This window comes from Homo sapiens, chromosome 4, assembly GCF_000001405.40.
Source record: "Homo sapiens chromosome 4, GRCh38.p14 Primary Assembly".
Classification (NCBI taxonomy): Eukaryota; Metazoa; Chordata; class Mammalia; order Primates; family Hominidae; genus Homo; species Homo sapiens.
In genome coordinates this window covers 76,959,256-76,982,774 of record NC_000004.12, presented here as the reverse complement: position 1 = coordinate 76,982,774, position 23,519 = coordinate 76,959,256, and the positions used below count along the sequence as shown (strand labels likewise).

At 38.7% G+C, this 23,519-nt stretch overlaps 1 protein-coding gene across 8 annotated transcripts in view; it reads right to left on the bottom strand.

Moving 5' to 3' along the window:
- The window catches only part of SEPTIN11 (septin 11), a 90,403-nt gene that overhangs the window by 57,380 nt on the left and 9,504 nt on the right, over positions 1–23,519 (bottom strand). The window contains exon 1 of one of the 8 annotated variants that reach the window (XM_047415960.1): positions 7,968–23,503. The exons of the other annotated variants lie outside the window; for them this stretch is intronic. Within the exon in view, the coding sequence (XP_047271916.1) occupies positions 7,968–7,970 (3 nt within the window). The 5' untranslated portion in view covers positions 7,971–23,503. Of the gene's footprint in view, positions 1–7,967; positions 23,504–23,519 lie in introns of those variants that run through there. 8 annotated transcript variants of the gene reach the window in all.

Here is a 23,519-nt window from a genome sequence, read left to right as displayed (position 1 = left end):
GAAAGTAAACTGCAAATGTTTAGGTGTTGTGTTTGTAACAAGAATTCTAGGAAATACAAAAGATTCTTAAGGAATTTGAGTCTTATTAGGGAGATAAGTTATTGAGGTAAAATGGAAGATGATTTTGAAATGTTTCATGATGAAATATACTACAAAGATTACAGGGTTAGACAATGGAGATGAATGTGGACCAGAGCAAAAATGTAAAACTCTCTTAAAGCAGGTCAGTTTTGCCCTAGGTTATGGTAAGATGAAATAAGATCTGGGCCGGGGGTGGTGGCTTATGCCTGTAATCCCAACACTTTGGGAGGCTGAGGCAGGCAATCACTAGAGGCCAGGAGTTTGACACCAGCCTGGCCAACATGGTGAAACCCCGTATCTACTAAAAATACAAAAATTAGCCAGGCATGGTGGCACCCGCCTGTAATCCCAGCTACTAAGGAGGCTGAGGTGGGAGAATCGCTTCAACCCAGGAGGCGGAGGTTACAATGAGCCAAGATCACACCACTGCACTCCAGTCTGGGCAACAGCAAGACTCCATCTCAATCAAAAAAAAAAAAAAGATTTGAATAGTTGCAGAAAGGGAATGGAGATGGATGGAAAGAAAGAGGTAGAATCTATCAAGGAAGGCAGCAGGAAAAGGAAAGAGGCCCAAAGGGCAGGGAAATCAATGAACTAGGAAAACTAAGAGTAGAGGATGTAAGACTTTAAAACTGATTCTTTTTCAGTTTACTGGAAATAGTCCTTAAATGGGGAGCATTATGCCCAGGATGTGCTACTAAGTATTCGAGTGTCACTTGGGGGAGAGATCTAGAAACAATCACTGAGCAGCCACGTCATGAAAGACTTTTCTGTTTCCCACTCCCTAGTGTACTTACAAACATATCTTCCCACCAGACCAGCACACCAAGGGATCATGAGTATAGAATTGCCTCAGTCAAGGTTTTAACCCAGATTACCAGCTGGGGCAACCATCCAAATGGTAAGCTATTTGATGCAAACTTCTGCAGAGCATGAAAAAAAAAAAAAATGCATATCTTGCAGAGAAGCTAATAAACAGACTCTATTTGTTACCGCTACAAGTTCAGCCATTCTAATCAAGCTAAAGCTTTCTTACTCCTTCCTTACTCTGTTCTCCTTCTCAAAAAATAGGACCAAATAACCCCTAATAAATCAATAAATACTCCCACTAGCAGAGACAACTTTCTGCCTTACAGAAAGTTAACTGCACATTGTAGAAGCATCCACCTAGGTGTAAGAGAAAGTTGGTTTAGAGTTTTTCTCACACATACTGTTGTGCTTAGGAAAGCAGACCCAAGAGGCTGTATTACAATTTTCCTCTTTTCTCAAAGTTCTCCTATTGATAGAAGATTTTATATGCTGGCTTTCTTGTCTTGATCAGTTAATGCAAAACAAACCTTTTCACATGCTGCAGCTCACAAGAATGTTCCCACAGTCCTCTCCACCCCCTCCATTGTCCACTAAAAATGTCTCTTAAAGAGCCATTTTCTTTATCATTATCATCATGTTGATATGTCTGAATAATCAAGTAGGGCCCAAGTAGAACACAGGGAAAATGCAACTGCATACAACAATCCGTTATAAATCCCATCAGCTCTCAAAAAGAGATGATAAAATATGTGCAAGAGCACAGGTTACATTTTTACTCATGTTGTTACCACAAAGCACAAAAGGTTTGGGTCAGCAGCCCAGACTTCTCAGCAAGATCGGGTCCAATTCCACATCAATGGTCCTAGATTGATAGATTAAGAGTATGGGATATGTGAATGGGAATATGTTTCTGACAGTCTTGATAGCATGATTACAGGGAAGCATTAAGCTAAAATCAAAACTTGAAAGATTATAGCTTGGCAAGAGATCCTTGCTGTAATCCATACGATCTGTAGGAAGGAAAAACTGAAGTTAAATGAGACTCAGGGTGAAAGACAAACCAGAATTAGCAAAAATCTTAGGCACTGATCCAGGTGGCTGCCATTAAACACTCCCAAAGCCTAATGGTCCATTTGAATAATTATTACTCACATAGATAAAATGAATGGCAAGCTAAGGGAAATAAGTGATGATTACACTGGCAAAAACAAGAACTACTTTCCCATTTGAATTTGAGAAAAATCCAAGCCTCAAATCCCTTCCCACATAGAGAGGGTCAGACCACGTATCTCACTGTAATCATGGCTACACAGAGTTAAGCCTCTTTTGCCACAACTGCACCAAATGTACACACTTAGGTTGCTTATTACCGGGAGTGGGTTTAGCGCAATGTGGCAGCTGCAGCCACCGATATAAGGAAACAAGGCTTGGCAGCAATTCCCCACGATTCCTTCTCAGTTCCACTTCCTATCCACCCTTTAGCCCGGATATTAATAATTCAGAAGACAGTGTGACAGCCACAAGTCACATGCATGAACACCCAAGAAACAATCACTGTAAAACCTGATGTGTTTGGACAGACAAACTTGTGAAGCTTTAGTCCCCATGGAGAACAGAGCACCAATAAATGTACCTCATACTTCACCTCATATTCTGGGATCAAGGTGGAAAAGTAGATCACTATCTTTTCAAAGTATCAGTTTAAAGTTGCTGGGAGTACCTATATGATGAAGGTTAAAATACCCAGAGAAGGAAAAAAGGCAACAGGCTCTACCACTTTCTTATCCACAGAACAAAAAAAGAGGGGTCTGCCATTTCCCTAGATCAATCAATCAAAAAACAATTTTATCAAACATTTATGAAAAGACCACAATACTAAGTATGGTTTAGCAAAAACAAACAAGGCATTCAAAGGTCACCATGCTTGATGCTTGGTCTACCCTTCAAGCTTCTCAATATGTCCCTCCTTCCACTCCAGCCATCAGGAAAATAATGTTTATTGGGTGCTTGTTTGCCCCCACTTTTTTTTTTTTTTGACATGGAGTTTCTCGGCTCACTGCAACCTCTTTCTCCCTGGTTTAAGCAATTCTCCAGCCTCAGCATCCCAACTAGCTGGGATTACAGGCGCCCACCAGCACGCTCGGCTAATTTTTGTATTTTTTAGTAGAGACGGGGTTTCATCATGTTGGCCAGGCTGTTCTTGAACTCCTGACCTCAGGTGATCCGCCTGCCTTGACCTCCCAAAGTGCTGGGATTACAGATGTGAGCCACCATGCCTGGCCCTTTGTTTGCCCTTTTAAAAACCTTCCCATTTAATCCTTATAACTTGTGAAGTAGATACTATTGGCTCCATTTTACAGAGAAGGAAACTAAAGTTCAATTCATGGCAGAACCAGCATTCAAACCAGTTTTGCCAGATTCTAAGTCCACCACCGCCCATACACTAAACTGGACAACTGACTCTTTTCAAAGCATACCGACCTCTGCACAGAGCATGCCTCCACCTTCAACTCCACTTGTCAAATCCTACTCATCCTCAAAATTCCAGGCAAAATGCCACTTTCTTCACTAAGCCTTCCCTGGTTCCTTGAATTAGACACCATTGCTTCTTATTTTATAAAGGTCCACTCTATTTGGGTCCTTGGTCACATCTTGCATCTAGCAGTACACTTAGTTTCTCACTTGGTCAGGCCCCCAAAAGAATGTACATTTTTTGAGGACAGGAACCCTGTCTTATTCATCTTACTTTGAACTGTATGTACCATGACATCACAAGTAGCCAGGGCCATATGTTTAGGATGAATGAATGCAGCAACTTATTTCTCACAAAGTCTATACAACCTGACTTCCCCAACCAAAAACAACAGCCATGGAGCAGCAGTGCAGTGATAGAGAATTCATGGGAGGGAGCATTCACTATGGGCTGAAATGCCCATGGTATGTTTGATGGAGGAAGTGAAGTTTAAGAGGGCCCTTGGAAAATGGAGAAAAGGGATGTCAATACTCCAGCCACATGCTTCAGTATGAACCCTTCCCAACACTTAGTCACAATCAACTGCAGGGAGGGAGAGACACGGTAGTGAAGAGGTCAAACGTTGTAGGGGTGTTTGCTCTCAGGAAATAAACTATTCTGCTAAAGTTCACAAGTATAAAGCTCTTATTTTATACATATATGGCAGGCATTATGCTGAGTATTTTACATAGGTCTCATTTACTTCTCACAATCGCCTCTGAGGTGTGCACCGTTATTATTCCCATTTTACGGTGGAGGTCAGTGAAGCTCTAAGAGATTAAGCTGCTCAGGGTTGTGCAGCAAGTAAGTGGTAGGGCCAGGAGTCAAAGCCAAGCAGGCTTCCTCCAAAGCCCAGGCCACTACATTAGTAGAGCCTGGGAGTCTAGAAAAGTTACCTCTGGTCAACCTTTTATAAACCAGAGAGTGATGTGTGTGTTGGCCATCAAGGGACATGCGTGGCCCACCCAAGCACATCACACTACAGAAGTCACCAACTTCCAAGGTGAGAAATCGCTGGAGAGGTAGGTTGTCATGGTGCACAGGCCCTATTCCACCAAGTAAGAGCACACAAGGAAAGCAACGTGGGAGCTACGGGAAGTGGGAACAGCAGGAAACAAGAGAAGGAAGAATCCAAGAAGAGACCTCCACCACCAGCTGCTGGAGTGGATTTCTTATATTTCTCACAGAAAAGAAGCAGAGTAAGTCTAACCCAGAGAGTACAGATTAAGGTTAGGCAGCCTACAGCAATCACTCTTACTCTCTCTCACACTCTTCTAAGAGCAAGGATTATCAAGTCTCCTTTCTTACTTTTCTCTGGCAAAGCTGTAAGAATTAGTTGCAGAGAAAAATCAACCAAAGCTTACATAGAAGTTGCAAAGAAAAACAAGAAAGGATGCAGTTAGCAGTCCTGACTGATTAAAACCACATGACTAACATATCAGATATTCCCACCACTTCCTCCTTAGCTTCTTATAGACTACTGAGGAGCAAACACACATATGCTTGTATTACCAAAAACAAACAAACAAATAACCTTTCGGTAGTATGGGCTAGAGAAGAAATATTTTCTGTATCTCTACCTAGTATGTGCAAGGAACTGGTAAGCCATTTTATCAACTTAATCATCCTAAAAAAAAAAAAAAAAGACGAACCTTTTGGGATAAGAGGACATCCCCAGACTCACTCCTTCATCCTTTTTAGAAAGGCTAAAAATGCTCATTACCTGGTATTAAAATTAGACTAATGAAAAAAAATATTGATTTACTGATGAAACTCCATTATCCACTTCTGAGCTTATATTTAAAAATAAGTCTTTAAAAACTAGCAATACTTTTACTCTCAGGAAAACTAATATTCATTATTCTAAAGCCTACCCTGAGCTAGGCATTAGTTGGTAATTTCACTTGTGCTGTTTCACTTAATAAATACAATATTTACTTAGACCCCCATTTCTGAAGGCATTTTAATTACACTCACATTCCTTTACATGCACTTCTCTGCAACTTGCAATTTGGAACAAATGTTCAACCACTAGCCACCATGGCAGCAACATAAAATACCTGTTTTGTTGATTTCCTAACAATCCATGAGGTAATTACAAATAGTTTACTCAGGCCCTTGGAAACCATGTTCAGATATCATCTACTTAAGCAGTAATATTTTTGTAAGTGTAACAAAGGGGAGAGCATTCTAAAATCAAACTTTAAAAAATTCAAAGTCACATATTATTTACTGCCATATTCTCTCTCTCTTGAGCTTTTTACTATGGTTTAAATTTCTCTCCCACCAAAAATGCTTTCTTTAGAACACTATACTCTTCTTTCTCTACCTCATTCCATGTTATATTGTGTAGCTGGGCTTATCTACCTTAAGGCAAATAAGGAAAAAAACATAAAAACTACTTTAACCATTATATTCCATAGCTAAACATCCATCAGGGCTTCCAATCCTATTTCAGCTAGGTTGGCTATAAGTGACAGGGACCACCACTTCTCTGGTTTTCAGTATCATCATCTGTAACATAGATGGGTGGAGAAGGGTCATTGAGGAAAGGTACATAAACTCTAGTTGTTAAATTACGGGATTCTAACATTTGCAATGGGATAAAAGATTAAAGGCTGCCAGAGCCTATGTCAGAGTGGGTATCAGACTTCAAATAAAACCTCACTAGAGGTATTGGGTCATCAAAACAAAAGTCTAAAATGCTGACGCCAAGCAAGAAGATACTACAGAGTGGGATGGCTCCCAACATAAGTCAAATAGCGGGTTACCCTTTCCAAGAAGTGCAACTTTATGATTGTTTAGATACCACAAAATCAGCCTATTATCTAGTGGAAAGGAGAACAACCAACGAGTCTTTGAGGGCCAGGATCAATGTGACATAGAAGGCTTAGAACGGTTGAAAGCCATTGTCGTCTGACAGTCAAACATTCAGACACCAAGAAATCTCATCACTCTAGTCCCAAAGTTGAGCTTGCAAGTCTCCAGTTCTGTGTATTCATGCAGCAATTAGGGAATCACAAGCCTTGGATCTTATGTTAACACAAGTATAGGAAGTGAAAAATAATTCTGATGGGTGAGCCAGGTATCAAAAGGGGTATTTTAAAAAACTGGTCCTAGAAAGATGCAAGAGATACAAGCCAAAAAAAAGCAGAAAATGTTGAATACAAAATACAGTATTTACTGTTTCCTCAAGTACTAAAAACCAGAGGTTTCTTTAAGTATATAAGTAGATACCTCATAATCTTTTACAACATGTCCTTACCATGTAAAGAAAATAGAACAAACACTCACATACCCAACACCCAGCCCAAAAAACAACACATTAACAAAAGCTTTGAAGCCCCATGGTATCCTGTGAGATGGCATCACTCTCCCTCTGTACTGGAGGTAAACACTATCCTGAATTTGCCTTAAACTCTTTTCTTGTTTTTCTTTATAGTGTTACCTTATACACTACTATCAGGACACAGTCACTAACTTCAAAATAACAAAAGTGCTTACTTCCTTCTCCAAGTTATCTGTAGGAAATTCAGAACTCCTCCTTAGAGAAGACTGAAGGTAAAGATACAGAGAGTAGATGAGTTACTTTAAAGAAAGTGGTTCTCAAAATTTGGTAAGAGAATCCTTGGGTCCTCCCCAAGAACCTTTTAGGGGTATATAAGTTCCTCCTTTTCCAACCACATACCTATGTGAGGTTGGATCTTCAGGTACTTCAACCAAAAGAATACGCTGCATCAGAGTGAATGAAATACAGATCTGATGACCCAGCTGTCCATTAAGTCAGACATTAAAGAAATTTGCAAAATGTGAAACAATGCATCTCAGCTAATTTTTTGACTTGAAAAATGTATTTTTCATAAAACAATGTTATTTACATTAACATGTAATAAGTTTATTATTGTTATTTTAAGTGAATAAGTAAATATATTTCAAACTTGAAGTAATAATAATAGAAGCGGATTGAAGTTGCAACAAAAACCTATGGGAATGGCTACGGGAAGTACTTCATGTTTGTAGAAAGTATACCAACTAACCAAAAATGCCCCAAGCTGACATAGTCATAGTAAACACTTTGGGATGGTAGAAAGAGTTTTCCAACCACGTTCTATGTTGTCCGCAAGGCATTAGTTATTCTTTAGTCCTAGAGATACACACACGAGAGGCACCAAGAGTAACTCAAGCTGTGTTCAATAAGCCTTTTAAAAGGGCTTACATTTCTTTTTTTTTTTTTTCTTTTTTCTTCTTTTTTTTTTTTGAAACATAGTCTTGCTGTCACCCAGGCTGGAGTGCAGTGGCGCAATCTCTGCTCACTGCAACCTCTGGGTTCAAGCAATTCTCATGCCTCAGCCTTCTGAGTGACTGGGATTACAGGCACGTGTCACCGCACCTGACTAATTTTTGTATTTTTAGTAGAGATGGGGTCTTGTCATTTTGGCCAGGCTGGTCTTGAACTCCTGGCCTCAAGTGATCTGCCTGCCTCGGCCTCCCAAAGTGTTGGGATTACAGGCATGAGCCACCACACCCACCCAAGCGCTCACATTTCTTACAAAGGGTAGCTTACCATAAAATATCCAACTGCATTGAGGACCTAAGTTAAACTTGATTCATTCCATCTGCAGCCCAGCTCCAACAGTGAGATTCTTTTCACCATAAATAAACCAGTGTCCAGGGTCCTAAACACAAGATCGGTGACTAGAAGGGGAGTTTGGGTTTTCTCCACTTGGCAGTGTGAAACGACTGAAGAATCTGTCTACAAATGACCTATCTAGAACGCCTTAGTTCTACTGTCCTTGGGTTTGTAGTGTGGGCAAGTGTCAGGGGATTTGGCTCCAGTTCTGAGCCTATGGGTCTTAAGCAGGTCACTCACTCTCCTGGGTCTTGGCTTCTTTCTCTGTAAAATAAAAGGGCTAGATGAGATTGTTTCTTTGTGAGCCCTTCCTGCTCTAACACTCTATGAAATCTCCAGTAACAAAAACCTGAAGTGGTATTCACTTTGCCTCCCCAGCATCCGGTACAGGGATTGGCAGAGTGTTGAGGCACAACATGAGTCACTGACCTTTAAATAGTGGACCAGTACCATGGCAAAGGGGGATAATTTTAAGAAAGAAAGAGGACAACAGGAAAAGGAATTAGGAAGAGTCACGGGACATCTGGGATGTTTTTGTCCCAATTTCAACTGCTAGTGGGTAGAACTTATGAACACCACCAATATGAGAGGGGAGAGAAACCAATTCTTTAGGCTCAAATGAGGGGACAACATGTGAGTGATCAAAAGATTGCTGGAAAAGCATAGATCCAAAGCCAGAAGCTGTATTCTGGGGCTCAAATGAACCCTACTTCTCTAGAGACCACAAAATGCCTTGATTTATGAGGAGAGGTAAAAGTGGTATCAAATCACCAAAACTATTAGTGATACGAATATAAAATGTTGGTGGTGTATTGAAATAGTGCCAGGACCACCGCTCTGGAAATAGTGGCTTAGTGCTTTACATCTCTAAAACTAGCTAACATTCAGAAGGTATTATTTATATGCCAGGCACTGGTCTAAGGTGCATAAAAAATGCATTAAAGTGTACATCCTCGCAGATGTGGAAACAAAGTCACAGAGACACAAAGAAATTCGCCCAAGTTCTTAGAGCAAGTAAGTAACAGAGCCTGGGTTCTAACCCGCTTTAACACTATGAAATTATACCAGTGAATCGCTTCAGAATATTTCCAAATAAATAGATTTTGGTTTCTGTGCTGTTTGCTCGATTTGTGTCATACAAAAAGTAGTAGACAAATTTTCACCAAAATGTAAGGTTATGTTTGGGATGGTCTGAGGAAATCCATGCTGAGCTGTGTGGAGAGCTGAAGAGCTGATGAGGAACCTTGGGAGAGGGCCCTCCTCTGGGCATCAACAGCTGAGCTGCCTCCCTTGTGCTGCGCTGCGTGGCTGCTCCACACACACGTATGCTGTATCATGCACACACGCACTGCAAGCCACAGCCAGTTCCCTTGCACCAGAGTGACAGGTGGGTTTCTCTGGACCTGACTGACTGAAGGGATGCTGTGGAACAAGGCTGGGGCTGGAAAAGAGAGGCAGACCCGTCTGTCATCCTGGTGGGTAGCAGCAAAGCGAATGTAGAAAAGCAGGGACCCCAGGAGAGATGGAGCTTTGACTTTTTTGTTTCCCCCCACACAGGCTTTGAGTGATAAAGTCCTGCAGAAACTTTAAGAGCAACTAACTCTCCCAGGGCATGCCAACGATACTTGATTTAAAGCATAACAGGCCCCATCACTGACTTCAACTACTCACCACCCGGTTTCTTCTCATCTACTTTTTATTTTTAAAAATGTGTAACATCACATTTGGGCACCTGTGAGAGAAGAAAGAATTGACTTCAATCCTGGCACCATTTACTTGCCAGCTGTGGACTTTGGGAGTGTTAATTAGCCTTTCTGAGCCTGTTTTCTCATCTGTAAAATGGCATAATTATGGCATCTACTCATAAGTCTGTTGACAGAATGAGATCATGTATATGAAGTCCTTAGACACAGTGCCTAGCAGAATGAGTGCCCAGTATTATTACTTATTATTGTTTTGATGAGAATTTTAATCTATAAATCAGAAAATAACCTAAGTGAAAGGAGTACTAAAATGGGATATCTCCCCCAAAACAGCAAACATTAACAACCTTAGTTAACGACCCTATCACTAACTTAAGGGCTCCCTTGCTTGTTTTTCATCTAGCTCAGTTTGTACTCAACTGCTAATTACAAGTTAGGTGTTAATTACCTCATAAACATTTCTTCAAATCACAGAGCATTAATTGCCTGCCCCAACTAAAAAGGCTGGATTCCTGAGTGCTCTTCCTTTTCATGCCTTAGGTTCCAAGCTGTTTGCTTTCTTTGAGTTGCTTCTAATTTATTAGTTCAGTACTTCTCCCACTGGGTGAATGAACTGTGTTTCTTAGCAGTTGCTATGTTCTTGCCCCTTCTAAACCACCAAGCAAAAGACAAAACAGTAGTTAAATATAATTAAGTGAATTTCAGTGAAGAGTGATCTAGATTTCTAAAACAACACACCAAAAGTACAAACCAAAGAGAAAAGATGGCACAGTTAGAACTTCTGTGTAACAAGACACCAAAAACAAAAGTACAGATACATGACTGGCTAGGAGAAGATATTTGCACATACAATAAAGGATGAACCTCAACAAGATAAATAGCCCAATTGGCAGGGCAGTAGGGGGGCAGGTAGTGGAGGAAGGTAAGGATGTGAATACGTTATTTGCAGAGAAATAAATAGAAATGGCCAATAACCACATAAAAAGATGTCCAACCTCACTAAGTCATGGTAGTTGGGGATCGTAACAACCTGGAGCTTGTGGTATCTTGTGGATCCACCGGCCATCTTTAGTTAACAATTACTTTTAAAAAAATAGCTTACATCCTCATATTTTAAAAGGTCTGTTTTTAAGAAGACAATGCAGAGCTGTATGGGGCAGCTGTGACAACCATTTGGCATTTTATACCTAGACCTTCACCACGTTCTTTAAAGATGAACAGTGTATCAATGAATAGCTCCAAAGTTTTTTTATTTTAAAGTGGTTTCCTTTTTCCTGCTTTCTCAAGTGAATACTGCCCTTCTAAGAAGCTCATAAAGTCTTGGCATCTTCGTAAGTGTTGTGCTTAAGACAAGATTCAAAGGTCACAATTAAAAAGTACTTAGCTAAAACAACCTCCTCAATATTCTGATCACAATACGTAGAAAGATTTAAATCTTAAATCTAATCTTAATCTAAATCTAAATCTAAATCTAATCTTAAGCTAAAAATTAGTGTTTCCTTTCACCAGTATACATTGATGTCTGCATGAAGTCCATGTGCTATTCTTAAATTTAGTACTCAAATCTCAATATTTTAGGTGAAAGGCTAAAAAAAAAAACCTCTCCATAATTAATATAAAAAAAAGCAGCATGGAATAGTGGGATAAACATTGGCTGGGAGTCAGAAGTAAAGACTCCAGCTCTGCCATATTTTAGGGGAATGACTTTGGGGAAAGTTACTTCTGAGCCTCTATCTTTACTTGTAAAATGCATATAATATTAACATCTCATAGGTTTGATATATTAATGTATCATAGGTTTTTAATGGTTTCAACTGATTGGAACTATATTGAAACTATGAAGCACCTTGTATAGTCTTTCCCACATTAAACAATTCCACAGTAGAAAATATTTAAAATGTTGTTCTCTATTAATTCAACATCAATTCTGCTAGACATTTATGTATGTTTATGTAAGATATACATACAGATATCATATATAAACTTTTAAAATGTAAATACTTATTGTTCCAATGAATCCTGTTTCCCCACTTCCACAGGACAAAGATATCTAATGAATAATCACCTCTCACATTATTTCTAGAACTTTCATCAAGCATGTTGGTAGTTTTCTGGAAGCAAATAAGCAATGAAAATGAAAATACTGAAAGATGCCCACTAATTTCCATAAAAAACAGCTTCAGGAGTCAATCCTATACACATAATTTCAATTACTAAGAAAAGCCCAGGGGAAGGCCCTGAATACAGCATCAAAGAGAAATACCTATATCATTTGCTAAGGCTGCCTCACCAGTCACTGTAGTATTTTCTGATTGATAGGAGTAAATTATATTACACTCTGTCCAATCCAACTAGTATGGTCTGAGCAATCCAGGGCTGAGAAAAATTGGACTGAGACTAGAAAACAGGTGAAATGAAAATTAAAATCTTAAGCCAATTCATTGCATGTCTTTATTTCTCAGCCCTTCAAAGCTTCCTGTTGTCAGATGCTCAACCACTAAATACTGATAACTGTAAGAATTCCTGGAGAAAATTTAGGAGATCGTTAAATTCTTTGTTCTGCAATCTCCTTTTAGGATGTTTTGCCACAGTAATGTTTTCTGACTAAGTCGCTCTACATAGCAAGAGACCTGAGCCTGTAACTGCACAATTACTTTTGAAGCATTTACTGAATAACTCCTTTGTGCTAGCCACTACTCTATGCTGTGTTTAAGATACAAAAATTAATAAGGCGTGAAAACTATTATGGTACAACACAGTATCTGCTGATTAGAGAAGCCTAAGAAAAATGGGAATTCAGAAAACTAGTCCTCCTAACTCTGCCTGGTTGAGAGTCCTGAAGGATGACTAGATAGAGAGACTGGAAACAGGCCAAAGAGAAAGGCATTTAGGTGAAATGCAAAAGCAGAGGTAAGCGAAGGGTACACACACAGGGCCCAGCAGGTAGCCTAATGGAGATTGTAGGAAGACAGGCATGAAGTCTCGGAAGGGCATGCATGTCATGCTGGGAGTTGAGCTGTTATTTATTCTGAAGGGAACAGAAGTATGGAAGGGCATTTTTGCAGAAATAAGAGAGAAAAAATAGATTTAGTCTCTCCAATACCTTTTTTCTTTTGGAAACCCCAAGAAAAGGGCCCTTTAGTTCTACAGTTCATACAAAAGTATTATGAAATGCTTTTTAAGAACTGGAGGAAAGCATCTGAATTTTTAACTAATAGTCAGAAAAGGGCTAGAAATGTCAGAAGTGAATTTTTAACTAACCCTCTGGTTTAAAGTAGTAGAGAAAAATCCCATTACTATGTTGCTGTTTGTGATGCCTCCTTGGTTGTGTTTACTCAGCTGTGATACACTCTAATCTTTATGAACCATGAAGTCGGTAGAGTTTACCCTACTCCTATCGACTGGATTGCATATGGACTTCTCTTTTCTAATTTCTTAAGAAAAATTCGCATGGATACATTTATTAATTCCCTTGATGCCCAAAGTCAAAGATTTATTTTATTTAGTTAGGGGCCTGAAATATGATTCAGAGTTCCCAACATTTTCTCAAATTTCTCTGTAACTTTCAAAGTGAAGTTCAAATGTCTCATATTTTGTACCTTTTGTAATCTCCAAAATGCTAAAATGCCACTTATTTTAAAAATTTGTTTGGCCAAACAAATATTCAGTGGATTCGATTTAGAAAACCAGCAGAAGAAGAGGTCTAAAGTTCAATACTGGTCTCTGGAGGCTCATTCACCCTGTCTCCCAAATCAGAATTAGGATACGATTACAACAAGACAATGTGTTCAAGAGTCCCAGATCCTCAATGCAAGTTGTAATATTAAGAACTACATATGAAACTATTGTGCTCATGACCAAGACTGAGCATGAAAAGAGCTCCCGCCGCCAACTTGCTTCTGTTGGCCTGAAAAATTAGAGACAAATCCAGCATCTGACTTTAGCTAGGGAGTCTTTTCTTCAAGGCAAGAAGACTATGTTTCAAGCCAAACATAACATGTGGGAAGAAGACTATTCCACATGTACACATGGAACCTTTAACTTCCAACTCCATATTTCTCAATAAAAATGCTCTGGCGTAACAGTGTTTGAGTAGAATAAATTGAGAGGGGTGGAGTGTTCAATGACCATGTAAAATGCCACGGATTTCTTTAAGAATAGGAAGATACATCAATACTCCTTATTACCATTTTGCTCAAGCTACCATCTTGAATCACATGAAGCTACTATTTTTGTAGTTGAGAAATGGCTGGATATCAACTTTCATGTGGTTCAACCCACTACTAGGACATTCTGTAAAATCAAGAGCAATTTTGCCACATCTTTTTCTTTTACTGTTAATGATCTCACTGGCTTTTTGCTTCTTAAAAAGGTTATGAAAGAGTAGGCTTCGGAAAAGAAGAGTCTCAAAACTCATAACAAAAACAACAGAAATTTTATCAATAAAAATGTTCCAATAATTAGAAAGACAGCCTAAATCAACCTTTTAGAAAGATGTTTTCTAAATAGTCTGCTTACAAAACATCTGCCTTTTTTGTTTTTCTGAGACTCTAATTGTCACTAATAGTTCGTAGAAGATGCATTTTTGTATAGGCAGGAAGACCGAAAAGAAGGGAGGATGCTGGGTTTCAGCTGTAGAGGGAAGGATTAACAGGAAATTTAAGCCTCAACTTAAGTCCTTAGGCCTCAATAAGGATTAATGGGAAATTTAAGCCTCAATTCCCCAGGCCTCAGTTTCCTCATCTTAAAGGAAGGTCCTTTATAAGGTGACCTTTGAAGGCCCTTCTGGCTCTAGCACTAATAATTTGTTGAAATTTGGTAACAAATTTTATTCTACCTATATCAACTTGCATTTTATATCGTCCCACTGCCGAATTCATAAATAATTTCATGGCCTATAGGAACAGCCATTAACTGTCATTGGAACTCAACCAAAAATAGAAAATCCAACCCCATTCACTATATATAGCATATGTTTTTGCGGAGCCACATTTGCTTGGCTACCACACACTCTAGAATTCCTCCCACTCCCTCAGCTGTGGGCCTGCTCACACCATACATCAACTTTTGGTTCTCCAAATTTGCTCTCTTATGGCCGGGCCTGTATTGGAGAAATCCTGTTACAGAAACAATTCAAAAATGTTGATGTTGTCCTCAACCAATCTATATGTTTTAATATCAGAGTTCAAGCACTTGCTTCACTTGTATTTTAAAAGCAGCCACATTTTCTGCACACACAAAAAGCTTAAATTGTTCAAATGTTAAATCATTCTAAAAGGCATACCAAAAAAAAAAAAACTATTAATGGTTCCTTTATTCAAATACAAGAAAAACAAATAAATTTATTTCCAATGGAAATCAGATTGCAAATTGGCAGACTCAACCAGCAAATGTGTTTATGTGACCCACACAGTATTTTTAAAACATTTAGTTGCCAACATTGTCAGATGTGGAAATTTCACATCAAATTCCAAATGTCCATCTCTTCTTTTGAAAAACTGAAGACTATGGCACCATCAGGCCCCCATTTCCTAGTCAGAGCCAAGAGGTGGCATGTGTTTTTCCAGCAGTTTAACTGAAGAATGTGGGTTGCCTTTTTGGTACTTTTTCTCCCTCAAATAAATAAGCTAAATAATGAAGCTCATTCATAGATGGCTTACACATTTGCCTCCCTTACTATCATCTTACCATGCCATCAATAATTCAACACGGAACCTAATTGAAGCTTAACCAAAACTGTGTATAAACCATTGGCCATTAACTAAAGAGAAAGTTAGATAAATTTCTATTTCTTATTAATGTTATAGCTACATCAGGTTAAGCACTTTTTCTTTTCTTTTTTGTGATGGAGTCTCACTCTGTCACCCAGGCTGCAGTAAAGGGGCATGATCTTGGCTCACTGAAACCTCTGCCTCCTGGACTCAAGCAATTCTCGTGCCTCAGCCTCCCAAGTAGCTGGGATTACAGGTGTGAGCCACCACACCTGGCTAATTTTTGTATTTTTAGTAGAGACACGGTTTTGCCATGTTGGCCAGGCTGGTCTCAAAATCCCGACCTCAAGTGATCTGCCCACCTCGGCCTCCCAAAGTGCTGGGATTACAGGCCAGGTTAAGCACTTTTCTAACTACAATAAAGCATAAGCATTAACTGAGATCTAGACTACTTAATATTTTTTGAGACAGGGGCTCCCTCTGTCTCCCAGGCTGGAGTACAGTGGCACAATCTCGGCTCACTGCAGCCTGAAACTCCCAGACTCAAGCGATCCTCCCACCTCAGCCACCGGAGTAGCTGGGACAACAGGTGAGCGCCACCACCTCCCAGCTAATTCTTGTATTTTTTCTGAGAAATGGGGTTTCACCATGTTGCCGGGGCTGGTCTCAACCTCCTGGGCTCAAGTGATCTATCTTCCTCGGCCTCCCAAAGTGCTGGGAATTACAGGTGTGAGCCACCATGCCTGGCTGATTACATAAATTTTTAATTTTTTTCAAGATGTATTATTGTTAGATTTAAATTTGGTCTATTAGAAAATCACTGGAAAATCTCCAAACTTTATACATTAAAAAAAAAAAAAGTCAGCTATACTCATCTTGTGGCTTCTTTGCTGAAAATAGTTGCTATATTTGCCTAATCAGGTCATAGTCATTTTACAAGCCTTAACAGTTTCCTGTCTCTATCCTGCATAAAAAGCACAGGATAACTAATTTGACCAAATATCTTCCTAAATCTTCTTCTTAGCCCTACTGTGGATTCAACTGTCTCTTGTCAAGTGGAGATAAAACTCATTTCATGAGAGAATTCTTTGCAAAACTAGCATAAATCTTGAGTTGTGGTAACATTAAAATGTAGGGCGCCATCCAACTACTTACTCTCTCCACTCACCATGGAATAAAGCAAACTGGACTAAACTGCAACACAGATGATGAGATGAAACACAGACTTTCCTTCTCTCCCAGGAACATAGTTAACAAAGCCTAAGGGAACACAAAGGGCAGACTCTGCTGGAGACAAAACCATGTAAAAGAAATGGCAGCCTCTTATAGCTGAAAGCTTGCAGTTGTCCATCAGAAAGTTGGTGAAAATTTCAATATAGCTCTTTTTCTAAAGCACATTATCTTTTTACATCAATAGACAGCTGAGCCAAGCCCTGAGAGCATTTCCGATGATACAAGATCCTTTTACCATCACAAAACCATTCCCTTTAAATCCTAAGATACCGTGTATAGGGTTCCAAATTTAGAATATACATATTCTGCACTCTGTCATGAGAGAAAATCACTATTGGCTCCTAAATTAAACTATAAAAGCATAGCAACAATTCTTGCTTTATGTTGTGAGGAAAACTGCACTTTTAAATATCATTGGTGCAAGCATTATTTCCTTCAATGTGTCTGTTCATATGACTAAAATGTACTTGATACACAAGTTTCTTTTAGAAATAGAAATATTAAAATAAGTATTTCCTATAATAAATTATATATAATATGTATTATATAGGCAATAATACATAATATTATACCACCAGTAATAGGCATAAATTCTAAGCCCAAAAGACAAAATTTGATAAATGACTCCTTTTTTTTTTTTTTTTGAAATGGAGTCTGGCTCTGTTGCCCAGGCTGGAGTGCAGTGGCACAATCTCAGCTCACTGCAGCCTCTGCCTCCGAGGTTCAAGTGATTCTCCATCCTCAGCCTCCCAAGTAGCCTGGACTACAGGTGCACGCCACCACGCCTGGCTAATTTTTGTATTTTTAGTAGAGATGGGGTTTCACCATGTTGGCCAGGCTGGTCTCGAACTCCTGACCTCAGGTGATCCGCCTGCCTTGGCCTCCCAAAGTGCTGGCATTACAGGTGTGAGCCACCATGTGTGGCCTGATAAATGACTCTTTTATACTATTAATGATGAAAACATTTCTCTCTAACAAGAGTATCTACAATGCCAAGCAAGCAGACTTAGGCATATCTCTGCTCTCAAAGAGGTCATAAGAATCTGTCATTTTAAAAGCTAGGTAAGAATGACTTAGCAATGCCAAGTTTTAACTCAGTGAATCAGTCGTTCTGGCAAGTGTGGTAAATGACAGGAAGCACTGGGCCACTTGATATGAGCTCAAATCAAGCTACTTCTCTCAGGAGCTAAGCTTTCTGAGGAGACTAGACTAAAATGATCCTCAGCTTTCTTTTGACCTTTTAAAGGTCCCATGACTCTACAGCACTGCTGGTATTCAATAAAGCTCAATGATAAATATTGCACAGAAATAATGTTTAAGTGTTTTAAATTATGCATAAACCCAAAGTTCAAGATAAGCACAGGTAAGCGAGGCCTGGCACAGTAACTTCCACGTGAGTTCCAACTTGGCTTTTTGATGATGATGATGGTGATGAAATAGCTCAAGCATACAGAGTATCACGTATCTGAATACTCATGACCTATCTTTGTTAAACCATAACTTTTACCATCCATATACTTCATCCTTTCTTTTTAAATCACAGATACGTTTGAAGATCCTCGAGTATCTCTCCTTGATCCCTTTCACTGCCCCTCCTTCCCCAGGTCACAGCTTGGCTCTTAAAACAAAAATGAGATCAGACAGTGCCTGTTATTTGCTTCAAAATAATTTGGGGAGAGGTGAGGGAAGAGGTTAGAGAAGGGAGCGAGGAGGCTAAAGAGAATGGTAAATAGACAATACAAGATTGGCTATGAATTTAAATGGGAGGGGGAGATGCAAAAAAAAAAAAAAAAAAATGATTGGCCAAGAATTGATGACTGGGCTAGGTGATGGGACGGAAGGGTTCATTATACTATTTTCTCTACTCTTGTGTATGTTTGGAATTTTTGTTAATTAAAAAAAGTTTTTCTTAATGTGGCACATATACACCATGGAATACTATGCAGCCATAAAAAAGGATGAGTTCATGTCCTTTGTAGGGACATGGATGAAGCTGGAAACCATCATTCTCAGCAAACTATCACAAGGACAAAAAACCAAACACCACATGTTCTCACTCATAGGTAGGAATTGAACAATGAGAACACTTGGACACAGGAAGGGGAACATCACACACTGGGGCCTGTTGTGGGGTAGGGGGAGGGGAGAGGGATAGCATTAGGAGATATACCTAATGTAAATGACAAGTTAATGGGTGCAGCACACCAACATGGCACATGTATACATATGTAACAAACCTGCATGCTGTGCACATGTACCCTAGAACTTAAAGTATAATAAAAAATAAATAAATAAATAAAGTTTTTCTTGGAAAAAAGAGAAAGATCAGACTATAAATACTTCTAGACTACATTCCTAAGCTGCACTATACAGTATGGTAGCCACTTGCCACATGTGGCTGTTTAAGTGTAAATTAATTAAAATTAAACAAAATAAAAATTTTAGTTGTACAGCTATCCCAGCCACATTTCAAGTGTTTAAAAGCCATATTTGACGACTGTGATGGCAACTATGCAATAGTGGAACATTTTCCATCATCATGGAAGTTCCAAACTGACAACAGTGTTCTGCAGCCTAGGGTGGTATCTCTACATGGTAGAAGAAGGTGTAAACAACAGTCGGAAGACTTGGCCTTAAGATCATCACTGTTTACCTTGGGCAAGTCTGAGTCCTGATCAATCAAAAAGGAGGTGAAGGTGTTGGGTGAAGAATAATATCCAACCAACCCACCTCACAAAGTTGTTGTGAAGATCAACTTTTACCCACTGAAATGTAATCACAGGAAAAATACGTGGAATTGCACAATTTCAATTAGGAAACCACTGCAGTGTGTGCAACGGGTTTAGTGGCAAAGCCAATGTGCAAGTGAAAACATTCCAAAAGTATATTTAAAGACCAAAAAAACTCTGAAATGACTCTAGTTTAAGAAATCACACATTTCAACTTCAAATTTGTTAAGTTTTCTCCTCCCACTCTCTTTATTGGAATAGAAAAACAACTTTCTACTTGCTTTTTTAACACATAATTTTTCCATGGTTGGGATTAAAAATTAAATCGAATTGCTAATGTAAGAGTAGCAAAGGATAGCTGGAATGCACCACTTGGGCCAAAAAGCCAAGTCACTTGAATGAATGCAAAAATCCAGGAACTAAGTGGTCCCAGCTTTTATCTACATATAATGAGAGAATTTCTCCTTCCCGGACAGATTGAGTACATCTTTAAGTTATCCATTATCCCATGTGGGGTATGTGAGTGTGTGTTTGTGTGTGTGTGACTGTGTGTATACCTTAAAGAAATACATTAAAAGATCACTAAAATAACTTTGCCTTTCCAAATGAGCTTATTTTGCTTCCCAAATCATATTTCCCCTTATTCTGGACTAACATAAGAGAAACTGATTAAACAGGCAGTATTTCCAATGTCCTTTTATCTCTAAAGCTAGTATCAGGAAAAAAACAAACACAAAAAAACTGATAACCAGTTACGTCAGGGTGTGAAAGGAATTAAATATAGGTAATGCCAAGTGAGACATGTGTACCTCAACCCAGGACAAACCAGTAATTCTCAGCCTTTTTTCCCGTTTCCCCATGTGGGGATAATTCCATACACACAATGATCCTAAACCAGGGGGTACGTGTGTTAGAATATGGAAATGTTTTGTTAAGTACAAGTCCCTTAAGCTAAGACTATTAGAAGCAGGAACTGGACATTTTATCTTAAAAGGCATTTAAAGATTGAGATTTTTAAAACGCTAGTTATAGCCAAAACATTTAAATTCACCTTAAAACATCTAAACATACATTCATTCACAATTTTTTGACAAAAGGCCAAGGCTTTTTCATCATAATAGGTCAGAGGAATATCAATAAGGGTGTCTTTCCAGCACAAACCCACAGGCATCATCTATAATTTCCAGTTTGTTTATTTAATGTGGAGACAGAACTTAAAAGTGTTTTCAATGCAATCTGAATACAGGCTCTTTTTAGATTCTTACAATTTTTGCTCCAACTTTTTGCAATTATCTTATGTATATTTAATTAACGGCAGTTTTATTTCAGCAAAATTTTTTACCTTTACTAAAACTTTCCAAAGCATCTCATTTAGAAGCAATTCAATTTTTGCACTTATATTTCATAGATTCACAAAACATTAAATTAGGCGATGATGATGATTACAACTAGTGTAAGTAGGTTTGAAAACAAACTACTGACCCAGTAAGCATAAAATTCTGTTGGCAGGTGCAGAAATGCATGTGCAGCTCTAAAACAGAACACGGACAGTCCCCAGTTACAATGGTTCAACTTACGATTTTGACTTTCCAATGGTACAAAAGTGATACGCATTCAGTAAAAACCACACTTCAAATGCCTATACAACCATTCTATTTTTCACTTTCCATACAGTATTTGGTAAATTACCTGAGATAGTCAACACTTTATTATAAAACAGGCTTGTGTTAGATGATTTTGCACAACCGCAGGCTAATGTAAGTGTTCTAAGCATATTTAAGGTAGGCTAGGCTAAGCTCTGATGTTCAGTAGGCGAGGTGTATTAAATGCGTTTTAAACTTAGATATTTTCAATATAATGTGGTTATCAGGACATAACCCCACTGCAAGCTGAGGAGCATCTGTACTAGTCTACCAGTCAAAAGCATGTGGAATGGTGCAGGCAGTCAGAATGTTTTGTAGCGGAAATAGGGCACAAATTAATCTGTCAGTGAGCCTGAAGACATTCCATCCAGATTCTAATAAAACTTCCCAATTCCCTTTGGTGTGCCCTTTTTATCCTCGCCTTAAACTAAAAAAATAAATTTCGAAAGATAGCCTGGGAAGAAAAAAAGCTGGAGGTTACCTTTCAAGGGTCCTCGAATTACATTATAAAAGGTAAAGAGAAGGGAAATAAAATGGGCCTTATTATTTCTGAATGCTAAGCCAAGTTCCTCATGTTTACTAAGAAAATGTGTTGGGCTGAATACTAGTTAAAAGAGCCTGACAAGATCCTCCCAGTCATGGAGGTTGAGCATTATCTGAGTCTTAGCCTTTTCTCCCCAGCTACTTTGTAGGCTTTCCAACAACATGGAGCACAGGACAAGTAACACAGAAGGTCCTCAAATATCTGACTGGTTGATGCTGCACAGTCATGAATGACTTGAGACAGGAGGTTGGAACGACAAAACACATCCTGATAACTCGCCCCTGAATTCAAACCTTATTCCAAAATTTTGAACCTTAGTGACAAAGAGATCCATTTTCCAAAGACAAATTTTGGTTCTGATTTGGTTTGGTGGGGGAGTAGAAGGATATGGTTTTGACATTGTCACTCATGCATGGTGTTAGCTGGGGCTCAATATTTGTTGACTTAATGAACAGGAAATAGGAAAAGCCACTGAGGAATAAAAGCATAAGTTTTTCAAGAAAGAGGAGATTTAGAAATATTCAGCAGTATCCCCAACTCTCCAATATCCCTATATAAATCTCCATTACATAAAGTCAATGAGAGTCTTCATCACCCCCAGCTTTGACTGGGTTATAAAATCCAGTTTAGACTTGGTCCTCTTCACATAGCTTAAATGTCAGCTTTGGAGCAGCAGCTAGTGGCAGCAAATTAATTATTAGTGATTTTGATACCTGAGACCTCATCTTATCTGCCTTAAGTTCATAAAATACCTTGGAATTTTAGTTTCTGAAGGAGCAAATTTGATTATCAACAACTAAAAGACTTCTTTAGAGGGCTCAGAGAGAAAACTGTGCTTCAACTTCAGACAATCCAACATTCCCAGTGGTTAAGAGGTTGACTAAGGATTGGAAAAGGCTTTGAAAACAAAGAGGCATGTGACAAACAATCAAATTATCAGGCCAAAGTACTAGTCTTAGACTGCCTACCCACGTAAGTCAAACCAAACACCTCAAAGAATGAGAGCAAAGGTGACAAACGTGAGGAGAATCTAAAAATGAATCAGCTTGGTTTACGTAGTTTCCATGACATTCTCAGAAACTGCCTCTGAGAATGGCTTACACGAAGTGCAGTGATCATTTGAACAATTCTCTTAAAAACTCTTGGGGTACATTTAAAAATAACTAAAAGAGTACAATTAGATTGTTGGAAACACAAAGGATAAATGCTTGAGGTGATGGACACCCCATTTACCCTGATGTGATTATTACACATTGCATGCCTGCATCAAAATACCTAATGTAACCCATAAATATATATACCTACTATGTACCCACAAAAATAAAAAATTCAAAATAAAATAAAATAAACACTCTTAGGGAAATACTACATTAATCCCCATCCTTAAAACTGTTCAATGTTAGCTAATTAAAGTTGTTTCTTATTACCCCATTTTTCCAATTTATGCAGACAATATAAGCCCAAAACTTTGATTATTTTTTTTCAAAAGAGTTTTAAGCTTTGTCCTAAGTTCATAGTTCATGTATCAAAACCATAATTTCCCCCATTCACTCTGGATCTAGATCCTAGAATATAAAAATGCAATTGACTTGAAATGGGTAAATTAAACCCATTACAGAACAAAATAGGCACTATAGATTCAAAAGCAAGTAGTGCCACCCTGAGAGATTATGAGTTCCATCCCAAAGAATCAGAAATGAAAATTATAGAAAAGTCTAGGTGATGCGATACAAATTTTTTTTTTTGAGTCTACTTTTTTAATCTGGCCATGTGCCCGTGGCTCATAACTGTAACCTCAGCATTTTGGGAGGCCTAGACAGGAGGATCACTTGAGGCCAGGGGTTTGAGACAAACCTGAGCAACATAGCAAGACTCTGTATCCATTAAAAATAATAATTATTATTATTTTTAAAAAAAAAAAAA